Source organism: Homo sapiens, chromosome 19 (assembly GCF_000001405.40).
Source record: "Homo sapiens chromosome 19, GRCh38.p14 Primary Assembly".
Lineage (NCBI taxonomy): Eukaryota > Metazoa > Chordata > Mammalia > Primates > Hominidae > Homo > Homo sapiens.
Genome location: NC_000019.10, coordinates 58,031,538 through 58,056,745, shown reverse-complemented (window position 1 = coordinate 58,056,745; position 25,208 = coordinate 58,031,538). Strand labels below are relative to the sequence as shown.

The 25,208-nt window shown below is 55.1% G+C and overlaps 1 protein-coding gene and 2 pseudogenes across 3 annotated transcripts, besides 3 other annotated features; 1 reads left to right on the top strand and 2 right to left on the bottom strand.

The window, feature by feature from the left end:
* Nucleotides 1-243: 243 nt before the first annotated feature.
* ZSCAN1 (zinc finger and SCAN domain containing 1) lies at nucleotides 244-22,721 on the bottom strand. 3 transcript variants are annotated; one of them, NM_182572.4, is made up of 6 exons: nucleotides 22,585-22,721; nucleotides 20,735-20,776; nucleotides 18,540-19,018; nucleotides 16,202-16,296; nucleotides 4,118-4,256; nucleotides 2,115-3,317 (listed from the first exon to the last, which is right to left on the bottom strand). In NM_182572.4, the coding sequence occupies exons 3-6, from the start codon at nucleotides 18,907-18,909 to the stop codon at nucleotides 2,695-2,697; spliced, it is 1,227 nt and encodes a 408-aa protein (NP_872378.3). In that variant the 5' UTR covers nucleotides 18,910-19,018; nucleotides 20,735-20,776; nucleotides 22,585-22,721; the 3' UTR covers nucleotides 2,115-2,694. The 3 variants fall into 3 exon arrangements, with proteins under 3 accessions (XP_006723212.1, XP_047294586.1, NP_872378.3); XM_006723149.3 differs by lacking the exon at nucleotides 22,585-22,721 and having other exon boundaries at nucleotides 244-3,317; nucleotides 20,253-22,003; XM_047438630.1 differs by lacking the exons at nucleotides 16,202-16,296; nucleotides 18,540-19,018; nucleotides 20,735-20,776; nucleotides 22,585-22,721 and adding an exon at nucleotides 9,440-9,787 and having other exon boundaries at nucleotides 244-3,317.
* Nucleotides 7,199-7,700, top strand: HNRNPDLP4 (HNRNPDL pseudogene 4; annotated as a pseudogene).
* Nucleotides 8,495-12,306, bottom strand: LETM1P2 (leucine zipper and EF-hand containing transmembrane protein 1 pseudogene 2; annotated as a pseudogene).
* Nucleotides 17,377-18,259: an enhancer, noted in NCBI's record as "H3K27ac-H3K4me1 hESC enhancer chr19:58549855-58550737 (GRCh37/hg19 assembly coordinates)". NCBI's record gives its function as "activates a minimal SCP1, AML or CMV promoter by ChIP-STARR-seq in primed H9 embryonic stem cells {active_cell/tissue: H9 hESC(primed)}" and the evidence as "EXISTENCE:reporter gene assay evidence [ECO:0000049][PMID:30033119]".
* Nucleotides 17,377-18,345: a biological region, named in NCBI's record as "Sharpr-MPRA regulatory region 748".
* Nucleotides 18,051-18,345: a silencer, noted in NCBI's record as "tiled region #748; K562 Repressive non-DNase unmatched - State 23:Low". NCBI's record gives its function as "represses a minimal TATA promoter and a strong SV40 promoter by Sharpr-MPRA in K562 cells {active_cell/tissue: K562}" and the evidence as "EXISTENCE:reporter gene assay evidence [ECO:0000049][PMID:27701403]".
* Nucleotides 22,722-25,208: the final 2,487 nt, after the last annotated feature.

The window sequence follows — 25,208 nt, the reverse complement described above, 5'->3', positions numbered from 1 at the left end:
GTGGCCCTCCAGGATCCTGGGCCACGTCCTTGCTTCCGTCAGCCAAGGTGGAGCACACAAGAGTGGCCCTCCAGGACCCTGGGCCACGTCCTTGCTTCTGTCAGCCAAGGTGGCGCACACAGGAGTGGCCCTCCAGGATCCTGGGCCACGTCCTTGCTTCCGTCAGCCAAGGTGGAGCGCATTGAGAGTGGCCCTCAAGGGGTGGCCCACCTCCCCTCAGAGGTCGAGGGAGGCTTCCCCGGCTGGAAACTGCAGCCCACAATGGTGTCCCGGTGTCTCCACAGGGACTTCCCCTCACTCATTGAGTCACTCATCCCTTCACTCTGTAGGACCTGTTGTATGCTGGGTGTGGTCAAGTATGGCAGTGGAGACTGTTCTAGGCACAGGAGGAGGCCAGGGTGAGAGGCAGTGTGGAGTCAGGTGGAGACACAGTGAGTTAAGGACACCAGCCTCCACCATCCCAGTGCTGGGGGCTGTGGAGGCAGCAGGGCCACAAAGGACACTATAGAGCTACCCTGCTGGGCTTTGTCTTTTCAGTGTCTGCATTTTAGAGGGACCCTGTTGGCTGCAGGATGGGGATGGGGCAGAGGGAACGGGCTGGAGGCAGAGTTTGCTTAGAGGCAGCTGCAGGCATTCAAGAAATGGGGAGAGAGCCTGGGGCTGATGGTGCAGAGGAGAAAAGAGAACTGAGAGGGATTGGGAGCTGGGTTCCCAGGGCAATCAAAAATCCTTGTGGGGCCTTGGAAGGTGGTGGTCCCTCTGAGGGGAGTGGGAACCCCAGAGGGGAGGCAGTTTGCGTTGTTTTCTTTGTTGTTGTTTTTTGTTTTTGCACAAGGGAAGATGAGTTATTTGGACAAACTCAATTGGAGAACTGAGGGACACCAGATGGATGTCTCTGGGGCCAGCCCAGGTAGGCTGGAGCCTGACTGATGCCTCGTGTTCAATGGCACCCACTTTCTTGTGCAACTCTGGCACCAACAAACTGAGCTGTGATTGTGCCTCCAGCAGGTGGAGACCGAGATGGAAACAGCATGGAATGAGCCCCTGGCTCCCAACAAGTGGGGGCACTCGGGAGAGCTATCTCTACACATCCCGTTGTCTGAGACGATCAATCTGCGCCTGAGAGAAGGCTCAGGGGGGCTTCCGAGAGTAATGGGCTGACTGCGGGGCCAAGACCCCACCCTCCATCCTGAGCTCTGTAGAAGAAGCTCCTCCTTTGCAGGATGAGAGAGAAGGTGCCAGGAGGGGAGCTGGAGCCCACCAGCAATTAAGGCATAGGATAGAGCCAGGAGCCCCCAGTGGGGACTGCAGGGAAAAGCTGGGGATGCCTGAGGGAGCCGGGAAGCAAGGTCCGGAGGCGCGGTTAGGGGGCGCTCCGAGAAGGCAAGCGTGAGAAGGCAAGCGCGGCAGCGAGGATGAAGTGAAGGCAGCGGTGGGTCCGTGGGACCTGCACAGCCCGAGAGGGCCATCGGGGACAGAGGCCGAGAGTGGGGGCAGCTTGGTTGAGAAGCAGCAGCAGGCGGATGTGACGTGGGTAAGTCCAAAGGCTTTTGATTTAGAAGGCGACTTGGAAAAATGTCTCTGCCTGTGCGGATTCACAGTCAGCCCAACACTGTGTTTCCAAGTGAAGTCGGGAGGAGAAAAAGAAAAAGGCAAAAACTTTTAAGGCTTTTGCTTGAAAGGGGACGAGTGTCCGACAACAATGAGTTGGGGACGGGTGAGAAGCCGAGTCCGAGGCTGGCTCCCCGCTGTGACGTCACCGCCTGCCCACACTCTGCTCCAGCCTAGCAGGAGAGGCGGGCCCACTCTTTGGAGACCATCTGATCCTTCCTGGCAGACCAGAAAGCCAGATTTTTATGGTTTAAACAAATGTTGGCATCTATCTAAAAAAAAAATCCTTCTGTAAGTCAAACAAAATACAGGCAGGTCAGTTTTGGTCAGGCCTAAAGACTGCGCCTGAAATCCTCAGAGACAGGAAGCAGATTCTGGTTGTCAGGGCGGGCAGGAATGGCGAAGGCGTGCTGAGGACTGTGGGCTCTCTTTCTGGGCAAGACGAAAACATCTTTGGAGCTAGAGAGTGCTGGTAGTTGCACAGTGTTGTGAATGTGCTTAATGCCACTGAACTGTTCATTTTTAATGACTGAAATGGTAAATTTTATGTTGCATGTACTTTACCCAAAAAAGGAAAAAAACAAAACCCTGTTTATCTGTTAGGTTCCAAGGGGGCTAAGCTGGCAGGAGGGCAGCCGGGGTCAGCTGTACCCTTCTCTGGAGTTGGAGCTGCCCAGGCCGGCTCCCACCCTCATGGCCTCAGGGATATCCACAGTGAAATGAAAACCCAGCGGCAGAAGCTGCCGCTGAGTCAGGTGCTAACAGGGAGACCTGGACAAGGCTTCTGAAAGATGGGACGCGAATGAAACTCCTCTTCAAGCCACTTGCAAAACTATAGTGCGCAGGACTGACCAGGCTGTGCTGTGGAACTGCTGCTTCTCAGCTGAGACCCTGGGAAGCCCCATCCCGTGCTTGGCTTCGGAGCAGGTGTCCAGGGTCTTCCGAGAAACAGCTTGTGTCCTTCAAGAGGAGTCCCAAGGTGGCCAGGGGTTGGTGGGGCTGGGGGATGTCCCCCATCTTCTGGGGCCCATCAGCTCCCCCCAGGGACTCAGGGCCGGGTGGCCGAGGCCCGAGGCTGGCCATTCACATGTGGCCGTGGGCCGTGTGGAGCTTCTGGTGGTCAATGAGGTGGACCATCCAGGGGAAGGCCTTCCCGCAGACGCTACACTGGAAGGGTCTTTTGGGGCTGCGAGGGGCCACTGGGCCCTGGGCTCCATCCCTGGGTGGGACGGACTCCCGGGGGCCCTTGCTCCGGGGGGCTTTCTTCCTCGGTGGCTCCAGCAGGTGGATCTTGCCATGCTCAGTGAGGACGGAGTTGTGCAGGAAGACCTTGCCACACTCGGGGCACGGAAAGGGCCCTTCCTCGCGATGGGTCTTCTGGTGCTCGATGAAGTGGGTGACCCAGGTGAAGACCATCCCACAGTCGGCACACTGGAAGGGCCGCCCACCTCGGGGCCCACGCGGCACTACCGAGATGCCTGCAACAGCCTCTTGGGTACCACCTTTGGTGTGCTTGAGGGATGGCTGGTGGCGGCCGCTCTGGTCAGTGTTCCTGTTTCTCCTTCGGGGACTGATTCTCTGAGCACTTGGACCCTTGGGGCTCGAGATCACAGTCCCTTCTGCCCGCAGGTCTGAGGAGGGCCCTGCGAGAAGGTCCTCAGGCTCGTCCCAGATACTCGGCTTCAGAGGCAAGCGGGCCCGGGACCCTGTGGAGGGCGAGGGAGATGGGTCACCTGTAGTGAGTGGATGGCCTTGGCATCTCCCTGTGCTCCCCAGGGGCACGGAGGACCCCAGTGACTGAGCCAAGTCCAGGCCCTTCCTCTGCTCAATACGGCCCCTGTGTCCTCCGTTCTGTCCTTTAAGATACAAGGGCACATGTGGCCGGTGCAGTGGCTCATGCCTGTAATCCCAGCACTTTGGGAGGCCGAGGAAGGTGGATCATGAGGTGAGGAGTTAGACACCAGCCTGACCAACATGGTGAAACCCCGTCTCTACTAAAATACAAAAATTAGCTGGGCGTGGTGGTGTGCGCCTGTAATCCCAGCTACTCAGGAGGGTGAGGCAGGAGAATCGCTTGAACCCAGGAGGCGGAGGTTGCAATGAGCCAAGATCACACCACTGCACTCCAGCCTGGGCAACAGAGCAAGACTCTGTCTCGAAAAAAAAAAAAAAAGGCACATGTTTTGGGAGCAGATCCCACAGCACTGGCCCTTGTTCCTACCTGGCTGGCCCTCTGGGTAACCCCGTGCTCCAACACTCTCAGACTGTCTGCCTTGGCTGCCGTTCAGGTGCGGAGGCTGAGGCCCTTCTCGTAGGGTGAACGATGTACATGGTGGTTCTAGGGGCCCCAGATCTCAGTCCTCACAGGAGGTGTGCATGCTTTCTGGGGGAAGTGTGGAGTTCACCACCGAAGCACCCAACTCAACCCATTAACAAAGTCTGTGGCTTTGGGTTGAAGTCCCAAACTCCATTTCCAACCCTTAATCCACACAGGAGCCAGACTCACCCAGCAAGCCAGGGGCGCGGGGCGCTTCGGCCTCCGCCCTGGTGTGCAGACTCTGCTGGAGCTGGGTAGTCTCCAGCCACTCACTTTCCTCGGGGAGTGCTGGGGCTGCTGCCACTGCATCCAGAATCAGCTCAGACGCCTAGAATGGCAAGCACAGGACTGTTCGGCAGCTGCCCCTCAGGAGCCATCCTCCCCACCACCACCGAACAACCAAGGAACGGGCGTCATCCCCAAAGGCTCTGTCCCAGGGCAGTGCGCGGTGTCGCGCCTGTTGTTCCCGTGCTTTGGGATGCTGATGCTGGAGGATTGCTTGAGGCCAGGAGTTTGGGACCAGCCTGGGCAACACAGCAAGACTCTGCTTATACAAAAAATAAATAACCACTCCTAAAGAGCTCTTAACAGGACCTGAGACAGAATTCGAGGGGCCCCTGTACAAAATGGAAATGCAAATCCCCTTGTTCAAAGATCGTTGATCATTTCAGGACAGTGACAACAGAGCATTAGATGGAGCCAGGGGACCTGTGCCACAGCTCGGGTCACTGTTACAAGCTGGGGCTCCTAACTCCCGTCCCCCAAGGCTGCACTGTCCTTGCCCACAAGCCCAGAGGAAGTGGGCGACTTCACAGACTTCACATCCCACCTGCGACCTATGACCTCTGATGCACCTAACCGTGTCCCGCCCAAAGCGGGGATCACCACTTCCTGGGAGGAGACTGAGCTGTGGTTGAAGAGCAAGAATTCGAAACAGAGGGGCTTGGCTTGGTGTCCAGGCTCCAGCCCTGCTTGTTGTGTGGCCCTGGATGAGGAGCTTTAGCTCTCTGGGTTTCCAGTGAGGATGTGGGTGCTACGTGCCCAGAGCCTGGTACCATCAAGGGCTCGGCAAACTGCAACGGAGTCGTGTCAAAGGAAAACACAGTGACACTTATCAATGCAAATCAGGTTGTTGGAGGAGGTATGTTGAGTCAAACAAAGCATCAGAAAAGACCAGGAGTCAAGCACGCACTGACAAGGTCTGTCTTGAGTGGGTCTTCGCTTTCTGCTGCCCCAACCCTACCTGGATGCACAGGGGCCTAAGGAAGCTGTCCAAGATTCCCAATAGCTGGGCAAAACTGGAGTAGAGGGATTGCTGGGCTAGAGACGGAGGAGGGAGGGAGGGAGGGAGGGAGCTGATGGCAGGAAGGGAGTTAAGGCACAAGATTCTTCCTGCTCTCACGTTGGGAGTATGTGGATGGTGTGTTTGGCTGGGTTATTGATTTTTATTTCTTATCAAATGCTAGTTTTGATTGTAAAACATGTTGAATTCTGAAATCGTAACCAGAGGAGCCACCATCTATAGGAGTAAAGGCGGGACTCCCTTTTACGCCTCTTCCTGGTACCTGGCTACTGGGGGCCATTGTGGACAGTCAGGCTCTTCCCTACTTCACCCACCTTGGCGTCTGTGACTAATCAAGGGCAGCAGAGGGGCTGCGTGGAGAGAAGAGTGGGTGGCATGTATGTGTGGAGAGAGGGGCATGCTTAGTTCCCCTGACTCTCAGGGGGCATCAGAGGAGCTATCGACACACTTGGGTCAGGCACAGAAACCAAGACATTCCCGGGGCCCTATCTGTACCTTCAAATGCAAACACATCCCCATAGCCCCGGTGAGCCACTGGCCACAGATCTGGGTTCTTATCCTTCCAGAGGTGGACCCAGGTTTATTGTTTCAGGGATGACAGGTGGGGAGATTGGAGGCGGGAGGGAGATGCATGTCACACCCTGGGAGAGTCCTGATGCAAACCAAGCAACCAAGAAAAAGAAAACAAGAATAAGGGGCCAGGCGTGGTGGCTCACGCCTGTAATCCCAGCACTTTGGGAGGCAGAAGCGGGAGGATGAAGAGGTCAGGATATCGAGACCATCTAGGCCAACATGGTGAAACCCCATCTCTACTAAAAATACAAAAATTAGCTGAGTGTGGTGGCGTGCACCTGTAGTCCCAGCTACTCGGGAGGCTGAGGCAGGAGAATCGTTTGAACCCAGGAGGCGGAGGTTGCAGTGAGCTGAGATTGCACCACTGCACTGCAGCCTGGCGACAGAGCGAGACGCCGTCTCAAACAAAACAAAATGAAACAAGAATAAAGGAGGAAATATGAATGCCTGGCAACTTACTGTTGTTGAGGAATTATCTTAATAGCTCTATTTTATTTATTTATTTAGAGACAGGGTCTCACTCTTTCGCCCAGGCTGGAGTGCAGTGGCGCAATCTTGGCTTACTGCAACCTCCACCCGCTGGGTTCAAGCGATTCTTATGCCTCAGCCTCCCGAGTAGCTGGGACTATAGGCACGTGCCACCACACCCAGCTAATTTTTGTATTTTTTGGTAGAGACGAGGCTTCACCATGCTGGCCAGCCTGGTCCTGAACTCCTGACCTCTAGTGATCCACCCACCTCGGCCTCCCAAAGTGCTGGGATTACAGGCATGAACCACCGTGTCCGGCCAGGAATTATCTTAATGGTTTTAGTTGGGGCAATGGTGCTGGGTTATTTTGGAAAAAAAAAAAAGGAAAGAGTGGAGCGACATCACCAAGATGGTGGAGTAGGAGATACCAACCTTCATTTCCCCCTCCCACTACCCACACACAAATCAACTACAGACAGATATTCACAAGCCAGAATAGCCCAGAACGCTCAAGGACCCATTGAAGATCTGCAGCAACACAGTGGAGTAAAGTGAAAAAACCCGAGAATGCCCACAAGAAAAAGCTCACCGGTGAGATAATGCATACCTGAGATGCCAGGAGATCGCTATGCACAAAGAAGAAAAGCAGGGGCCACGAGTATCAGCTACGCGGTGGGAACCACCAGGGACCCCAGCAGTGTGTTCCACAGAGGACACTGGCATCACTTACCACTGAGGTTCCAACAGTCATTCCCGCCAGGGCCTCAGGGAGATACGCCCATGGGATCTCAGGGACCTTAGAGTGCTACCCTCAAAGGGCTTCGGGCAGCTACCCTTACAGGCTTCAGGCAGCCCCTCCCCATGGGGTAATGGTGTTTCAGTCAACAATGGACCACACACACCACAGTGATCTCGTAAAATTATAATGACTCTCTTCCACCACCATTTGAAATCCAACTCCGTAGCATAAGCTGCTGCCTGACCCTGAATGTGCACCAGCACCCCCCGCCTACAACTTCTCCACCAGCAAAGACCTGAATGAGTACCACAACCAATACAGAGGAAATCGCAGAGGGATCCAAGATCTGCCGGATGATGGTACAGTGTTACAAGCAAAAAGATCTGACGATGTGTCTTGACTTAGGGAAGTTGCAGATTGCACAGTTAAAACAGTTACTGGAAGATCAAGGGGATTTGTATCTGTGCTTTTGGAAAACGCTGCTAGTGCTCTTAAGGCCTTGGAACGGAAAGAACAGGAGCTGGATGGCAAATTGATAGGATCACCCCCCACCCCTGCTGCAAAGAGCCAAAGCTTGAAAAGGGAAAGAACCCCCCGAAAGGTTTTCGTGGGTGGATTGAGCCCAGCTACTTCTGAAGAACTAACTAAAGAATATTTTGGAGGCTTTGGGGAGATTGAAAATTTTAAAGGCCAGGCACAGTGGCTCACACCTAGAATCCCACCACTTTGGGAGGCTAAGGCTGAGGCTGGAGAATTGCTTGAGAACAGGAGTTCAAGACCAGTGTAGGCAACATAGCTAAGTCCCAACTCTACAAAATTAGAAAATTACCAGGCACTGTGGCTCAAGCCTGTAATTCTAGCTGAGATGGGAGGATCACTTGAGCCTCGGTGGTCAAGGCTGCAGTGAGCTATAACTGTGCTACTGCACTCCAGTCTGGGTGACAGAGTGAGACCCCGTCTCAAAAAAAGGTAAAAAGGGCCGGCCTCGGTGGCTCACGCCATCATCCTGGCACTTTGGGAGGCCAAGGCAGGTAGATCACTTGAGGTCAGGAATTCGAGACCAGCCTGGCCAACATAATGAAACCCCATCTCTACTAAAAGTACAAAAATTAGCCAGGCATAGTGGCGTTTGTCTGTGGGGCAGGAGAATCATTTGAACCCAGGAGGTGGAGGTTGCAGTGAGCCGAGATCATGCCACGGCACTCCAGCCTGGGCAACAGAGCAAGACTCCATCTCAGAAAAAAGAAAAAGAAAGTAACATGGTCTCGCTCCATCGTCCAGCCTGGTCTCCAACTCCTGGGCTTGGCTTATCCTCCGGCCTTGGCCACCTCAAGCAGTGGGATTACAGATGAAAACTTGGCTCAAACCACATCATTTACACTTACCTACATGCCCCAGGGCAGTTAGTATACTAATTAAGAAACACAGCTTGAAACACTTGCAGGGTTAAAGCTATAAAATGTCTATACATTGATTTTTTTTGAGAATTCATAAATATTAAGGATCTAAAACAAACTTCTTTCTCAAATAATTGAAATCTGAAAGGCTTTGGAAGCCAACTGTCCCTGCACAAAGGTTTACAATTGAGAAATATCTCCTGTTCCTATTTTGTCAAGTTTCTTTAATGGCTGAACAAAAAGAAGCTTCAAGTAATGGAGAAGGCATCGTCTGAGCGCAGCTGCTTTCCTGGCTGCCTGTGCCATTCCTATGTCTTCCAAATCCTATGCTTGGAGGCCCCCGGAGGGACATTTTTACCAGGAACCAACCTGACCTTAAAAATATGAGTGTGACACAGCCGGCTGGGCAGGAGGGTGGAGGTGGCCACAGGACACTGCCTGCCCACGCCCTCGCCAGCCCGACCATGCTGCCGAGTGCAGGGAGGCCACCCCACCCAGAGGGCACAGGGTAAACCCTAAGCACTGCGGGTGTTGCCCTTGAAGCCCCAGGGGATGCCCTGTGCCTCGTCTTCGTGCCTCGGTGACCAGCCTGCTTGTTAAAGGACCCCAGGGGCCTGAGCCTGCAACACCACAAGGGGTGAGAAGGGTATGCTGCTGTGGGTGCACTGGACTCAAACCTCACATTAGAAGCTACAAAGAACCCCAAATGTGCTTCAGAGCCCCACCAACCCGAGCCAGGCTCATCCCTGACACAGTAAATCCACTGCAGCCCCCGTGGCGCGCAGCCCAAGCACCACCCAAGGGAGTCCCATGGCTAGGGCTACGTCAGAGTTGCGTGGCTTGGGTCAGAGATGGCTCTTGGGGCAGGCCGACCAGCGTGGGAAAACTCTGTGCCAATCGACTGCTTAAAGAATTGGGGGAAAATAGAAAGTTAAGAAAGAGCTCCGATACACAAGGAAAACTGCAGGTGAGAACCGGCCCTGCCAGCAGGGAGACGTCACTCTCCAGAGGCCACAGAGATGGCAGATACCTCTGTCTCCACAGTGACCCAGATCCAACTAAAAGCATGCAGGAAGACAGGTCTATTGATGCTGAAATCTAGAAAGCAAGGTCCACAGGTGAATGGAGGCATCTTCAGCCCTGAGGGGGCCAGGCTGTGTCTCCTGACGCCTCTGAGGGTGGGCGTAGCAGCCAGCTCCGTGTGGGCAGAGTCCATGTGGTCCTCATTCTCCTCCCTGGGCACAGGGCAGCACAGTCAGACACTGAGACGTGAGGCCACACACAGGGGGGCACCTTCCTGCCTTGGCCCAGCCGCCTCTGGAGCCAGGAGGCCGTGGCAGCCACACCACAGTGTGGATCCAGACAGGATTCTGTGGAGGGATTCTGGGACTCCAGACAGATTGAAGCTCCGTGGAATGATGAAAATTACAGTTTACTTGATTATGGAAGTCTCTGATTTATTCCAGCCAAAGTATTAGATGAGCCACTAAGAATCACCGCAAATCGCTCTCACAGCCCTCACCAGGGTGGCAGTGCAGCAGGAGGACAGGTGCCCACGCCAGTGGCTCTAGCTCTTCACCTCTGCAACCTCCTTCTCCACCTTCTCCTTCTCCACCCTTTCTCCTCTTTTTCCAGTGTTGCTACAATCTCGGCCACCTGACTGGTGGAGACGTGAACATCTTCTTTGTCCACCAGCTCAATCACCTTGATGAGGTGGTCGACGTTGACCTTGCCATCCTTATTTTCATTCAGTGCTGCGGCCAGGCTGGTGAGCTTGCTTTTGGGAATGTGCTTGACTTGCTTCATGGCGTTGATGAGCTCGGCAACACTGATGACGTTCTCCCCCATGGGCACGCCCTTGGCCGGGGCCAGCTTGCTGGCCCACTGGTCCATCTCCAGCTGCGAGATCAAGCCGTTGATCTGCCCGATTATCTGCTGCACCCTTTTTGTCAATCTCTTGCTGGCTTTAGATCCTTCCATGTATTTTTCTTCACCAGTCTTTGAAAGTTCCTTCTTGAGCTCCTGCAAGTCCTCGCTGTAGTCCTGCATGTCCTCCTTCAGCAGCTCCAGCTCCTCCTTCTTCCTGGTGAGTGACTTCTTCTGTTCCTGCAGCTTAGAGCAGGCATTGCTGAGGATGCTGATCTCCTCCTTAGTCATCTCTTCCTCCTTCAAGCCCTCTAGCACGGGGGCAGTGTCCTTCATGGTCTCTGACTGCAGGACAGTGTCAGGCACTTCTGGCTGGGGCTGGGCCCCTGGCCTTTGGGGAGCGCCTTCCACACATTCGGGTTCAACATCCTTCGCCACCTCCGAATGCTTCTGCAGCTCCTTCTCGCGGTGCTCCTACTGCATGGTCGCCTTCTCCTGCAGTGTGGCCTCTAGCTTGGCCTTGTCCACCTGCTTGCCCTCCACCTCGGCCACTTTCACCTGTGCTTCCTTTGCCACAATCTCTGGGAGAGTCTGCAGTGTGGACTTGAGCTGGTCGGCTGGCAAGAGGGTGTCCGGGAGCTACATGGTCCGGGACAGGATGAGCAGCGATGTGGGGATCTCCTGATGCAGGTGCAGGTCCAGCCACTGCTTCAGCTGGCCCCTCAGGTGGTTTTCCCTGACGCCCAGGGCCCGCATGCCTCGTGCCCGACATGCCGCCTGCAGCTCCTTGACGTTCAGGCTGTCCACCCCTTCCTCAGCAAACAGCTTGTCCTCTGCCTTTATGGAGCGCAGCCGCATCGTGAGCTGGAAGCGCAGGAAGCTGTAGCTCCAGCAGCTTGCACAGGGCCACCAGCTGCGGCCGTGTCAGGTTGTCAAGGGTCAGCTCATCCTCAAATAATTTGGAAAAACCCATGATTTCCTCATTGCTGGGCCTCTCCCCCGTCTCCCGGATCTTCTGGAAAAACACAGAGAAGTCTTTGGTGGCACTGCCCTTGGCTGCCTCGTTCTTCAAGGCCATCTCCTGGATGGTGTCCTGGAGGAACTCGGCTAGCTCCAGCTTGACCTGAAGCTCCTTCAGCCTCTTCTCCTTGATGGACTGAGTCTCGGATGTGGATGGCAACATGTTGGGGAAGAGTTTCACAGCAACAGGCAGCAGAAACTCCACGAACGGCACCACCACGAACAGGAGGAACGGCACCAGGCGGAAGAGGTCGGCACAGAACCGGAGCAACTGCCTGCGCGCCTGGCGGGTCAGGGTGTGGCAGTTGAGGATGCGCCAGAGCATGCGTGCTGCGATCTTGGTGTGGATCCGTAGCAGGCGGAAGCCATGGTAGTAGTGCCTCAGCTCGCCCAGCACCCTCTCTGCCCCCGGGACTTCACCACCATCTCTGCGGGGGCGCTGTACACAGGGCCGCCTTCCTCCAGCTTCTTGTTCTTGTCCTTCAAGGACTTGAGGGACTTCTCTACTACCGAGTCATCACCAACAGGGCGCGAAGAGTGCCAGCCGCGGGCAGGAAGGCACCGAGGCCCCAGGACCACAAAACCCACAGAGGTGGAGGTCCATGGCGCTCTCGACACGGTGCGAAGGCACTCGGGCCTCAGAGTCCAACAGCTGAGGTGATCGCCTCTGAAGCACGGGTAGGCAGGGTGGGTGGGAGTGCAGCAGCCAAATGAAACTTTCGGGCAGCTCCTCAACCCCAGGGTGCTGGCAAGCTGAGATGAGCAGGATCCCCCGGACTACCCCGCGGGGCGGTGACCCGAGGCGGCGGCGGGAGGCTGGCGGGCGCCCAGCCGCGGCAGCTCCTCATTAAGATGGACGCCGTGTGTCCGGGCGTGGCGGCCGCTCGGGCCTCCTGCGCTGGCTCCTCCTCCTTCTCCGCGGCGGCCGCGGCTCTTCGCCGTCTCGGTGGCTCCTCAGGCGCCGTCCGTGCGGACGGTTGACGGCAGCGGTTGGCCTCGGACAGGAGGCGCCCAGCTTCGATGTTTTTGGTTTTTAAAAAGGTTTAATCCTTCTTCCGCTTCTTTAAAACAAAGCTTTTATTTCTGCTGCCCCCAGAGCATAACCTTTCTGTGGGATAATGATGTATCATTTATTTATTTTAAAATGACACAGGTTGTTTTTTGTTTTGTTTTGTTTTGAGACGGAGTTTCGCTCCTGTTGCTCGGGCTGGAGTGCAATGGCGTGATCTCGGCTCACTGCAGCCTCCGCCTCCTGGATCCAAGCGATTCTCCTGCCTCAGCTTCCGGAGTAGCTGGACTTACAGGTGCACACCACCACGCCCAGCTATTTTTTTGTATTTTTAGTAGAGACGAGGTTCCACCATGTTGGCCACGCTGGTCTCGAAGGCCTGACCTCTAGTGATCCGCCCGCCGCGGCCTCCCAAAGTGCTGGGATTACAGGCGTGAGCCACCGCGCCCGGCCCCAAGAGTCAGAAAGTTTTTTACGCCAGGCACAGTGGCTCACGCCTGTAATTCCAGCACTTTGGGTGGCTGAGGAGGGAGGATCGCTTGAGCCTAGGAGTTTGAGACCAGCCTGGGCAACATAGTGAAACCCCATCTACACAAAAACTAAAAAAATTTTAAAACATATAAAAATTAGCCGGTGCGGTAATGTGTGCCTGTGTTCCCAGCTACTCAGAAGACTCAGGTAGGAAGATCGCATGAGCCCAGAAGGTTGAGGTTGCGGTGAGCCATGATCGTGCCACTGCACTCCAGCCTGGGTGACAGAGTGAGAGTCAGTCTAAGAAAGAAAAAAAAAATGTAAAGCAAAAACTTACAGTAAGATAAATTATATTGAAGAAGGAAATATAGTTGCCAATTTAGTAGCCTAAGTGCACCATGTTTATGAAGTCCACAGCACAATAACCTCCCAGGCCTTCACATTCACTCACCACTCAGACTCACCCAGAGCAACTTCCAGTCTCACAAGCTCCCTTCCTGGCAAGTGCTTTATACAAGTGTACTGTTTTTTATCTTCTATTTTGTATTTTTACTGTACCTTTTCTATGTTTAAATCCACAAACAACATTGTGTTACCGTTGCCCACAGTATTCAGTGCAGCCCCGTGCTGTGCAGGTCTGTAGCCTAGGAGCCATGGGCTGTGCGTGTAGGTGTGTGAGTGCCCTCTGCGATGTATGCACGGTGACGAAACCGCCTAAGGAAGCATTTCTCAAAAGGCTTCCGATGGTAGGCGGTTGTATGCGCTCAGCGATCGCCAGTCGTGCCCACTCCACAGCGCCTCCTGGCGAGCCGGGCTGCCCCGCGCAGAGCAGCTCCACCTGTCCCTCACCTACGCTCCCGCTAATCCCCGGCGACTTCAAAAGCAGAGGTGCCTCAGGCAGTGTTAGCACCCTGGCAGCGGCAATGCCTGGGGCCGCGCTCACCAGCGCCCCGATCCCGGAGCTGCCGTCTCTCCACGCGGGCGCCAGGCCTCAGGCCTAAGGCCTCTCCCTCCACAAGTGCAGCTCGCTCAGGGACGTTGGGGCACCCTGCTGTGGCTGAGCCCCACAGCCTAAACCAGCGCCAACGAGGATCCTCTCAGCCACAGCGGCCCTGGTGGGAGAGGGGTGGGAGGACCTCAGCAGCCTTCCCCACCTACGACCCCCGCAAAAAGAGAGTCCTTGGAGTTGCCGTGTGGTGAGGGGATGGCCTGTGAGCGCGGCTGTGGTTTCCACGTGGCGTCTGGGATGGGAGAGGGAGTCAGATAAGCACATCTGCCGGCAGCGGCTGAGGAAGCCCGTGGCCAACAACTGTGGTCTACCCAGGTTAGATGCCTCCGTTAGATGCAGAAACAGAAACCACGGCCCACGAAACTTTGTTTTGGTGCAGGAGAGGGGCTCTCATGATGATCTTTAAATCTATTTTAGGGCCGGGCGCGATGGCTCACGCACTTCAGGAGGCCGAGGCGGGTGGATCACGAGGTCAGGAGATCGAGACCATCCTGGTGAACACGGTGAAACCCCGTCTCTACTAAAAATACAAAAAAAATTAGCCGGGGAGGTGGCGGGCGCCTGTAGTCCCAGCTACTCCGGAGGCTGAGGCAGGAGAATGGCGTGAACCCGGGAGGCAGAGCTTGCAGTGAGCCGAGATCGCGCCACTGCACTCCAGCCTGGGCTACAGAGCAAGACTCCATTAAAAAAAAAAAAAAGTAAAGTAGAAGTTCCTCTTCAAAGACTTTCCTCCCCATCTAATTAGGAATAAATAGTAACTTCTCTTAGAAGCAAAATTTATTCAAAGACCTGTGCTAACATTCTTATATATCTGCTAGCCATAATAAAAAAAATCAATGTACTTTATGTTCTTAGCTCCCACAATTTAGCCTAAATATTTGCCCTGGTGTGCCTATACTGGTCCAAGCAAGCATTAGGTCATAGCCTGTTCCTCTTCCTTATTTGAAGGTGTTTTTACCTTTCTCAGCATTCCACAAGTTACTTCCTTCTTCCTTGAACTCCTGAACTTGTGATCCGCCTGCCTCAGCCTCCCAAAGTGCTGGGATTACATGCGTGAGCCACTGTGCCCGGCTGTTGATGTTTTTTGAGTTAGGGTCTCACTCTGTCATCCAGGCTGGAGTGTAGAAACATGATCATAGCTTACTACAGCCTTGAACTCCTGGGCTCAAGTGATCCTCCTACCTCAGCCTCCAGAGTTGCTAAGACTACAGGTGCACACCCCTACACCTGGCTCATTTTTTTTTAAGACATGGGGTCTTGCCATGTTGCCCAGGCTGCTCTTGAACTCCTGGGACCAAGTGGTCCTCCCACCTCAGCCTCCCGTGAGGCCTCACTCAAAGTGCTGGGATTACCGGGATGAGCCACCACACCCAGCCGTATTTTGTTACAGCACCCAGAACGGACTAAGCCAGTGGGAGACACACATGTGCAGTCTTTCAGCCTGTTACTTGGCTGCCTGAGAGTGGGTCCTGGGCCTAGAACATCTCCTTACCAAGAGATAAGGGGTCCCCCCAGTTTGTGCTGGGTGTAGTGCCTCGTGTGGAGGTCTCTGTTTCCCAATGTGTGCCCCTTTGTTCTGCTCAGGCGTGTGCTTCACGTGGCACCTAGACAGCCCCACTGTTAGGTCAGGACCCCTCTAGGAGGGACCTGCTGGCCCCGGCCTGACAGCCACATGGGCAGATGGTGCTCTGGCCCGGTCTCTGGTCTGTGAGCAAAACCTTGCTCCATTCATTGTTCGACCGTGCTGTGTTTCCCTTGGCGGCTCCAATACCAAGATCCAGAGGCAGAAAGTGGTCAAACTCAGTAGCCCTGATCATACGAACACATGCTACTCACTTAGCAGTTCTTACTTTTGTTCTTTTGTGATTTACCCATTACCCCTGGATTTCTCTCATGTGTCTGCGTGTCCCCACCCCTGATTTTAATCTCTCCAGCCACACAGAGATCCGCTTGGCTCCCAACCGAGCCGGGCCCCTCCCGTCGCCTTGAGGCCTGCGCAACAGCAGGTCTAGCTGCAGGGGAGCCCTCAGCATTTCCTTCTGGGCCCGCCCAGAATCCTGGGTTCACTGAGGGAAGATGATCGGGGCAGCAGGACTTTCTCAACACACGCAGCATCTGGTGCGGGTGACACAGGAGGATGGGTCTTAACTGCGAGGCTGGGAAAGGACAGGAGGGGCTGGGGTGAGGCCCAGAGGCACACAGCAAACACACAGCTGCACTGACTGCCCTCGCCCAGCACTGAGCCCCAGGAAGCTTGGGGAATCTGTGGGGCAGGCGGGGAGTTTGGAGGCCGGGCTTCCTGGGAGCGCTGGGGACAACCTCACACAGTCCTTGGATGGGGCATCCTTGAGGCCGTCCCAGAAGCGGCACGCATGCCCTGGGGTGCAGGAGCACGGAGCTGGGGGCCCCGGGCTCACCTGCGATGGTTCTTTCTGGGACCTTGGACTCTTCCCATCTTCCTCCTCACCGAAACTCCAGTCCTGGGGTTCGACCGAGTCCAGAGATACCAGAACTGTGCGGGAGAAAGGGATCGTGAGAGGGGCCTGTTCTTCCCAGAGCCCCCAATTCTCCAGGCCTTCTGGGGAGGGCAGACTTTCCCCGAACATCCCTGCAGCACCCCTGAGGCGCAGGCAAGAGTGGCTGCAGGGCTGTCATTCTGTCCCTCCATGTGGCTGCTGGGCAGGAACCTGTGGTGACACCGAGGGCCGCTGAAGACAAGTACCCTCTTCACTCATACTCCACACCCCTGTGCGCCTCCAGAAGCCCACGAGGACACACACTGCAGCACTGACTAACTAGGGAGGCCCGAGCACTGTGAGCCCTCTGCTCCCCAAGCCCCCCGGGGCTGTGTGCACAGAGTGCACAGAGGACGACTGCTGAAGCAGGGTTCAGGACACCATTGACAGAAGGGTCAAGACGTGGGAACCAGGCCAGGCGTGGTGGCTCACACCAGTAATCCCAGCACTTTGGGAGGCTGAGGCAGGAGGACTGCTTGAGCCCAAGAGTTTGAGAGCAGCCTGGGCAACACAGCAAGACCCCCCCCTATTTATTTTTTAATTAAAAAAAGAAAAATTCAAGATCACGGCCACCTCTGGGGTGTCAGGCAGAGCGGGGGACAACAGGACTAGGAGACGTGCATGGGGGTTCAGCTGATTCCACTGGTTGTTCCTTTTTTTTTTTTTTTTTTTTTTGAGACGGAGTCTCGCTCTGTCGCCCAGGCTGCAGTGCAGTGGCGTGATCTTGGCTCACTGCAAGCTCCGCCTCCTGGGTTCAAGCGATTCTCCTGCCTCAGCTTCCTGAGTAGCTGGGATATAATATAGGCACGCGCCACCACGCCCGGCTAATTTTTGTATTTTTAGTAGAGACGGAGTTTCACCATGTTGGCCAGGCTAGTCTCGAACTCCTGCCTTGTGATCCGCCTGCCTTGGCCTCCCAAAGTGCTGAGATTACAAAGCATTTCCTAGGTTGGGCTTTGATAAGGGTGGGTGGCCGGTGCAGGGCTGTTCATTATACTTGCTCTACTGTTTCATAGGCTCAAAATATGGAATGTAGAAAGCAGACCACCGCTATGGAAGACAGATAGAGAGCCCTTTGCTCAAAAACGTTGAATTTTGAGAGTGACCATGGAACATTAAAACTAGCAAGGGTGGCTCTGGGCTGGGATGGCTGTGAGGTCCACAGAGCGCCAGAAGCCAGTGCTCTTGGGCCCTCTACCCCAGGATCAGAGAGTTCAAAGGGCCAATTCATCTGGCTTCTGCCTTGCAGCTTACAGGGCTACCCTTGAGCCTCTGGAAAGCTCAGCTGTCACAGCTTTCCTAAGTGTGGCACCGGCTGCCCTGGGGCAGTAAGGGGACCCTGGACCCTGTGTTCTGCAAACTGCTTATCACTGTTGGTCTACGGAAATGCTGTAGTGGGAGGGTGCAAAGGGAGGGCCTGTTCCTCTCCCTTGCTCCACCCCTCTTTTCTGTGAGCTCTGATGCAACCCTTCTCACTCCCAGCCTTTGCTCCTGCAGCGTGGCTGCCTGGCACCCTCCTTGCTGGGGCCCTGCTGGGGAAGCCCTCCCGAGGCCACAGTGCCACGACTGCTCTCACCATCCGTGGCTGCCTCTTTTGGCCTCCCAGTGTCCAATCCCTGCACTTTTGTCACTAGGAAAGAAAGAGCCCCACTCATGGGACTGGGCCCTGGGTGGATGGAATCTCGACGTGGGGTCACAGGGGCAAAGATGCAGAAGGACAAAGCCCTGTCAGGGGAGAGGGGAGCTGAGAGAGGAGACAGGGAGGGAGCCCAGTTTCAACCCCAAATTTCCCAGCTCCCAGAGTCGGGATGCAGACCTAAGCGTCTCTCCCCACCATCAGCCAGCGATGGGGCCTGCGCCCTGTGAAGGCTTAAGGATCTCTAGGATTCCTGAGTGTTGCAGGAGGCGCTGCAGGTGGCTGGGAGGAAGTGGCGAGGCAGCGTCCTTCCCAGAGAGCAGCCGTGAGGAGCAGCAGACACAAAGCCACAGGACAGATGGACGCATGGGAAATGGAGGGATCTTTAATCACCGACTGAGTGAGAAATTCGAGGCAGATGAGGCGTGCAGCACATTTATATGTAAAAATAATTAAAAACACAGCCGCGGGGCAGGAGAGGTTTGCTGGTCGGGAGGGGCCGGGCAGGGGTGGGAGCGATGTGGGCGGGAAGGAGGGCAGTTCGGTCCTCGGAGACGTCAGGCCCCCTGGCCCGGCCCGGGGCAGGAAGCCTGCGCCTCTCACCTTCCTGCTGGCACATCTGTGTGAGGTCCTCCACCAGGCTGGCGGCCTCCCTGCAGCTTCGGGGGCCCTGTGACTGCACCCAGGTCCGCATCTTGCTGGGCAGCGCGCCCAGGAACTGCTCCAGCACCAGCAGCTCCAGCATCTGCTCCTTGGAGCGCGCCTCGGGCCTCAGCCACTGGCGGCACAGCGTCCAGAGCTGGCCCAGCGCGAGGTGCGGCCCGCTCGCCACGTGGTACTGGAACTGCCGGAAGCGCAGACGCTGGGCTTCGGTGTCCCTGGGGCTTGCTGGCCCAGGGTCTGCGTCCTGCTCACTCGGGGTTGGGGTCTGGGGGCGTCTGGGGGAGGCAGGGGCTTTGGGCCGTGGAAGCATTTCTCTGGCCACAGTGCCCCTCTGAGGGGTGTGTGTGGACTGGATCCCGAGTCCCAGTGGCTCCGGACAGAGCCGGTGTGGCAGGCGGACAGAATCAGCAATCAGGGGCCTGCAGAGAGGGGCAGGGACAGAGGGGTCACATCAGATGGTGGCCCTCTGTACTCAGGATGCCCCTCGGCTCCTTACTTCCTTGTTCTGACCTCCAGCACCCCAAGGAACCAACCTGACCTCTTCCCACCTTCTGACCTAATCTTCCACATGCCTCTCACAGGCTACTTTGCACTGAGTTCAAGCCACTGGCTGCCCCAGGACCTTTGCACCTGCCATCCCACCCCAGCCCCTCCCCTTCCCACCCCAGCTCCTCCCCTCGCAGATGTCCTGGCCATCATCCTTATGGCACTGTCTTCATAACCTCCATGACTTTCTGAACACAACTTTTCCCCTTACTTAGTGTCTATCTCCCTCTCATTTAGTCATTCAACACACATTGACTGACGAGCTGCGGGAACAAGAATGCCTGCCCCGTGGTGTGGCCAGCACTGCCCAGTGAAGTTCCTACAGGGATGTAAAGATTCTCTACCCATGCAACCACCTACGTGTGGCTAGGAGCACCTGAAATAGGAACTGAATTTTAAATTTAAATTCCATTTAAATGGAAGCAGCCAGGTGGGCTACATAATAATGGATGACACCACCACCAGCAGCAGGTCTACCCATGGTGTTATCTTTGCTGTCTTCCTGACTTTCCTACCAGGTCCAAGCTGGGGGTGGAGACCAGGAAGAGGGCAAGGGAGACTGGAGACTCTGAAAAGAGAGGGAAAGTGGGAAGAGTAATTTTAAAATAACCTTTTGTGGCCGGGTGCCGTGGCTCACACCTGTAATCCCAGCACTTTGGGAGGCCCGGGTGGGTGGATCACCTGAAGTCAGCAGTTCAAGACCAGCCTGACCGACATGGCGAAACCCCGTCTACTAAAAATACAAAAATTAGCCGGCGTGGTGGTGCACACCTCTAATCCCAGCTACGTGGGAGGCTGAGGCAGGAGAATTGCTCCAACCCAGGAAACAGAGGTTGCAGTAAGCCAAGATCGCACCACTGTACTCCAGCCTGAGTGACAGCGTGAGATTCCATCCCAAAAAAAATAAATAACCAAAAATGAGTTGGGCGTGGTGGCACGCACCTGTAATCCCAGCTACTCGGGAGGCTGAGACAGGAGAAATGCTTGAACCCAGGAGGCGGAGATTGCAGTGAGCTGAGACTGTGCCACTGCACTCCAGCCTGAGCGACAGAGTAAGACTCTGTCTCAAAAAAAAAAAAAAAAAAGAAAAGAAAAAAAAGAAGTTACCTTTTGTACATTTTCCAAGCCGACTATGGTGAACATATAACTGAAGAAAACATTAAAAGTTGTAAAAATAAAAATAAGCAGGGAGGTTTCGTTTGTTTGTCTTTAACAATTGTACTCTGGACTGATCCGCTGGTGAGAATATAAATTGGCACGACCTTTCTGGAAAGCACTGTGGCCATTTATATATCAAGAACACTTGGTAGACTGCGTGCAAGATGCGAGATTCAGGCACCAAGATTCACTACAAAAGTGCCCAACAGTTGAACGTGGTGGGATCAACTACCTCCCCCATCATGTGATGGGAGTATTCAACCGTGCCCAGTACACAACACTATGACATGACCACGGGGAGTAGACACATGATGTACAGATGACATGAGGCACAGGGAACGTGGGATGCAGGATGATGCGTGAGTGTCATAGAAAGGGAGTCCTGGGAAGACGCCCATGGGGGGCGGCCAAGTGCTTTGTGCTGTTCATACTTCTCTGAATCTCCTCCAAATGGTGTCGGGCTCCCATGTGACCTTCATCAACATGGAAAAACAAAACAAAACAAGACATCTTTAGGAAGGATTTTTGACCATATGGGAAATGCTTATGACAAGTGAAAAGGAGGGATTCCATGGGATTTTTCCCTCTTCATCCTCTGCTGCATTTTTCATACACTCTGCAGTTCTCGTGCATCTGGTTTTACAATCCAGGAGAAAGGAGAGGTGCAGGGTGGCAGAAAGGCAACTCACGGGGACTGTGCCCAGCCAGCCATCTTCGAGTCAGCGTACCCGGCCACCTGCACCCTGATTGGGAAACTACCAGCTTGGTCTTCCCTGCCAAGGCCACAGGCAAAAATGCTCTCTTATGTTGTATTCACACTTTTATATATGTAGTTTTGAATAAGAAAAAAGGGCCTATTTTGAAGCTCCACAGGTTCAAGAAATCCCTTTGCCCTGGGGCCTCAGACCTTATACTCTCTCAGGTGCTCATGGCAGCTCACCCTGGAGACTCTAGGGAGGGGGGCTGTAGCCCCTCAGCATCCTCCAGGGTCCTGGGCTGAGGTCTGTGGGAGGAGATGCTAAGTTTATCAGGGATGAGGGTAAAGAGGAGGTCTTAGCAGAAGGCACCAGAGGTCCATGGGTGTGTCTGGGGTCTATATGGGGGCTGATGTGGAACACCTAGGCCAATGTGGGGGTACCTGAGCTGATGAGAGTCCTGGACTGATGGGTGGCTGTTTCTGGAAGATGAAGAGGGCCTGGGATGATGTGAAGGGGACTGAGGTCTACATGGCTGGTGAGGAGGATCTGGGCCCCCCCATGGGCAATGCTGTGGTGGCCCTGGGGTCCTAGAAGTCTACTTTGGTAGGGGTCTCTGATTAATGTTGGGGATGTGTGTGTGTGAGAGAGTGTCACTTGGAGGGCTCAGTGCCTGTGGAAGGGCCAGGTTCACCTGGCATGGGCACTGAGATCTGCAGCCCGAGCCCCAAATTCTATTGCGGGGATGGGCAGAAGGGCTTTGCCGCTGATGCCGGATGCTTAGTGACATAGAAGACGTGTTCACTGCGCCAGTCAGTGAATGGTTCTGGCTTTGAGAAGGGGGCTTACAGTGGGGAGGGCGTTGGGAGCTTAGGATGCCACACGGAGGAGTTCCATAATAAACGAGCTGGGGAAGTGTGCAAGGGCAGCGCACTGGGAATACAGGGGAGGGGCAGCGACGACGGCTGTGGACGGCTGGTTGGGGGGAGGATGGTGGGGTGATTGGGTGGGGGATGGGTCGGGGGCGGCTGTTCAGGAGGGAGATGGGCCTGGGGCGGGGAGGGGGAGCTTGTAGGGAGAGAGACGGGTCGGGGGCTGCTGTTCCAGTGGGGGATGGGCCCAAGGGGCCGGGTAGGGAGGGAGATGGGTCCGGGGGCGGCTGTTCAGGAGGGAGATAGGTCCCGGGATGCTGATCAGGTGTGGAAGGGAGAACTTGGACGCGGCCGAGCGGTGTTTGGGCGGGCAATGGGGGTACGTAGAGGGGCTTCGGCCTCAAACGGACAGGCGGATGCCAACAGGGGTCGGGGTCCCTGCGGAAGGGGCGGCCCCAGCCCCCCCAGTCCCCGCCCCGCGTGGCCTCTAGCCTTCCCCTTCCCTCCCCTACGGCGACCTCAGGACTCCCGATGGGCTCTGGAACCCCGGCCCGGCCCGCCCCCTCCCGGGCCCGGGCCCGCCTCCCCCGACGCGCGCCCCTGGACCGCGATCCCGGGCCAGCTCCCGCCGACGCGGCGCCGAGACCCTCCCGGGTGGGCGTCCCGATGGACGCTCTGGCGGGCGGAGGGACGGATGGGCCGCGGCGGACTCACCGCGCGCGGGCTTCGCTCGGGCCTGGGCCACTCGGTCATGGCGACCCCTGGGCTGGCGAGCGCGCCCAACGCCGCGGGCGGACCCCATCCCCGCACCCTGCGCGCCGCGGGCGGCCGCCATTGGTCCGCTGGATCACGCCGGGCGTCGGTGACAAGTCACCGCTGCGGGACTCCCGGGCAGGGGCGGGGCTGTGACGCACGAGGCGGCCGAGGCCAATCAGAAGCCGCCTGGGATGAGCGCCCCGCCCCCGCCGTGCCCTCCAGTTACCTCGGGCCGCGGTTCCAGTCGCCTTGGCAACGGGTCGCGCAGCGTCAGGGACGCTGCTGCGGAAAGTGGAGACGGTGGCGGCTGCGGGGATGCGCATGTACGATGGGGCCGCGGGGCAAAACGACGGCATTCCAGACACGCAACCGTTTTATACAGTGTCCAAGAGTAGTATGTTAAAACATTGTTTTTAATATAAATATGTTTAGTACAAGTATGTCCCAGACTAGGATCGCCACTCTTAGCAAATAAAAATACAGGACGTCGGCCGGGCGCGGTGACACGCCTGTAATCCCAGCACTTTGGGAGGCCAAGGCAGGCGGATCACGAGGTCATGAGTTCGAGACCAGCCTGACCAATATGGTGAAACCCCCGTCTCTACTAAAAATACAAAAATTACCTGGGCGTGGTGGCGCATGCCTGTAATCCCAGTTTCTCAGGAGGCTGAGACAGGAGAATCACTGGAACCGGGGAGGCGGAGGTTGCAGTGAGCCGAGATTGCTCCATTGCACTCCAGTTTTCCAGCGTGGGTGACAGAGCGAGACTCCGTCCCCCCACCCCCAAAAAAAAGAAAGAAAAAAGAAACCTCAGTTATATGTAAACTCAAGAAAAACAAGGAGGCCGGGCGCGATAGCTCACGCCTGTAATCCCAGAACTCGGGAGGCCGAGGCAGGCGGATCACCTGAGGTCGGGTGTTTCAGACCAGCCTGGCCAACATGGTGAAACCCCGTCTCTACTAAAAATACAAAAATTAGCCAGGCATGGTGGTGCGTGCCTGTAATCCCAGCTACTCGGGAGGCTGAGGTAGGAGAATCGCTGGAACTGGGGAAGCCGAGGTTGCAGTGAGCCGAGACCTGCCAACGCACTCCAGCCTTGCCTGGGCAACAGAGTGAGACTCTGTCTCAAAAAAAAAAAAAAAAAAAAAAAAAGAAAGAAAGAAAAAGAAAAACAAGGAATTAGTATCAATGTGTCCTATATTTCATATACTTTAACGAAACCTTACATAAGAACATTTCATATAAATAAGTTTTAATATTAATGTCTACAATGTAACCATGTGCCAGAATAGTAGGGTTCCACAGATACTCGTTTTGTATCTGAAATCAGGTGGGGGTGAGATCATGATGCAAGGAGGGTCCTCAGCTCTGGGACTGAGCTCAGGATAGCTGAAGCTGCTCATTGCTGAAGAAGAAGCAGGAGAGTGTGAGCTAAGAAAAGAGAGGAGGACCCACCTCCAGGGGGTCCAGCATCTGCTGGACAGCTGTTTATTGAGGGCCTATGTGTACCAGGCACTGTTCTGGACACTGGGGTGGGAGCACATCAGTGAGAGGGACTGATAGGGCTTTAGTCCCTTGGAAGCCCATGTTCATGGGGCAAACACCAGTAAACAAAGCAGATGCTTCATGGAAATATAAATACCTAGAATAAAATAAAACGAGGCCTGGAGATTAAGAGTCCCAGGAGTGGCAGGGAGGGGAGGGGCTGCCTCAGCTGGATAATCAGAGCCGTGTCTCCGCATCTTTGCTGCTGGCGGCTGGTCCCTGGAATGTTGTGTGTGAATGCCACTTTGTGCAGAAACCACTATGGGAAAACCAAATTAGGGTGCTAAGGGCTTATTATTCTCCTTCTTGAAAATTAGGCACTTGTAATGACATGGTTCATTTTCTTGGTAGCTGAAATTGGCGTGGCCCTTTGGGGCAGTGAAGGCTCATGTGTGCATTTATAACTGCCACCCATTTGGGAAATCTCCCTTGAGAGAACACTGACTTAGTCTGTCTCTAGAGTCTGGATCTAGACACCATCATAGGCCACCTGGTAACTCTAGATCCATTGGGAGGCAGCCTGGTGTCTAGCAGAGGTTTCAGTTTTTTTTTGTTTGTTTGTTTTGTTTTTTTTAAAAAGAGTCTTGCTCTTGTTGCCCAGGCTGGAGTGCAAAGGCGTGATCTTGGCTCACTGCAACCTCCACCTCTCGGGTTCAAGTGATTCTCCTGCCTAAGCCTCCAGAGTAGCTGAGATTACAGGTGCCCACCACCACATTCAGCTAATTTTTTTGTATTTTTAGTAGAGACGGGGTTTTACCATGTTGGCCAGGCTGGTCTTGAACTCCTGACCTCAGGTGATCCACCTGCCTCGGCCTCCTAAAGTGCTGGGATTACAGGCATGAGCCACCGTACCCGGACCAAAATTTTTTTAAGCAGTAGAAATCTTTGTCCCAAATTAAATCTTACTCGAAATCCCAATTAAAAGTAAATCAGCTAAAAGCAGAACTGTTATGGGTGCCAGGGGCTAGAAGAAGGGGCAAGGGGAATTCTTTTGGGGGCGATGAAAAGATGCTGGAATTAGATTCCAGTGATGATCG

Excerpts from the sequence above, each read along its gene's own strand:
- ZSCAN1 (XM_006723149.3), bottom strand. Across the intron at positions 16,297-18,539 it reads ACAGATGTGCCAGCAGGAAG|TTCTGGTATCTCTGGACTCG; the intron begins GTGAGAGGCGCA and ends TCTCCCGCACAG. Across the intron at positions 3,318-4,117 it reads CCGCGCCCCTGGCTTGCTGG|GGTCCCGGGCCCGCTTGCCT; the intron begins GTGAGTCTGGCT and ends CGCCCTCCACAG.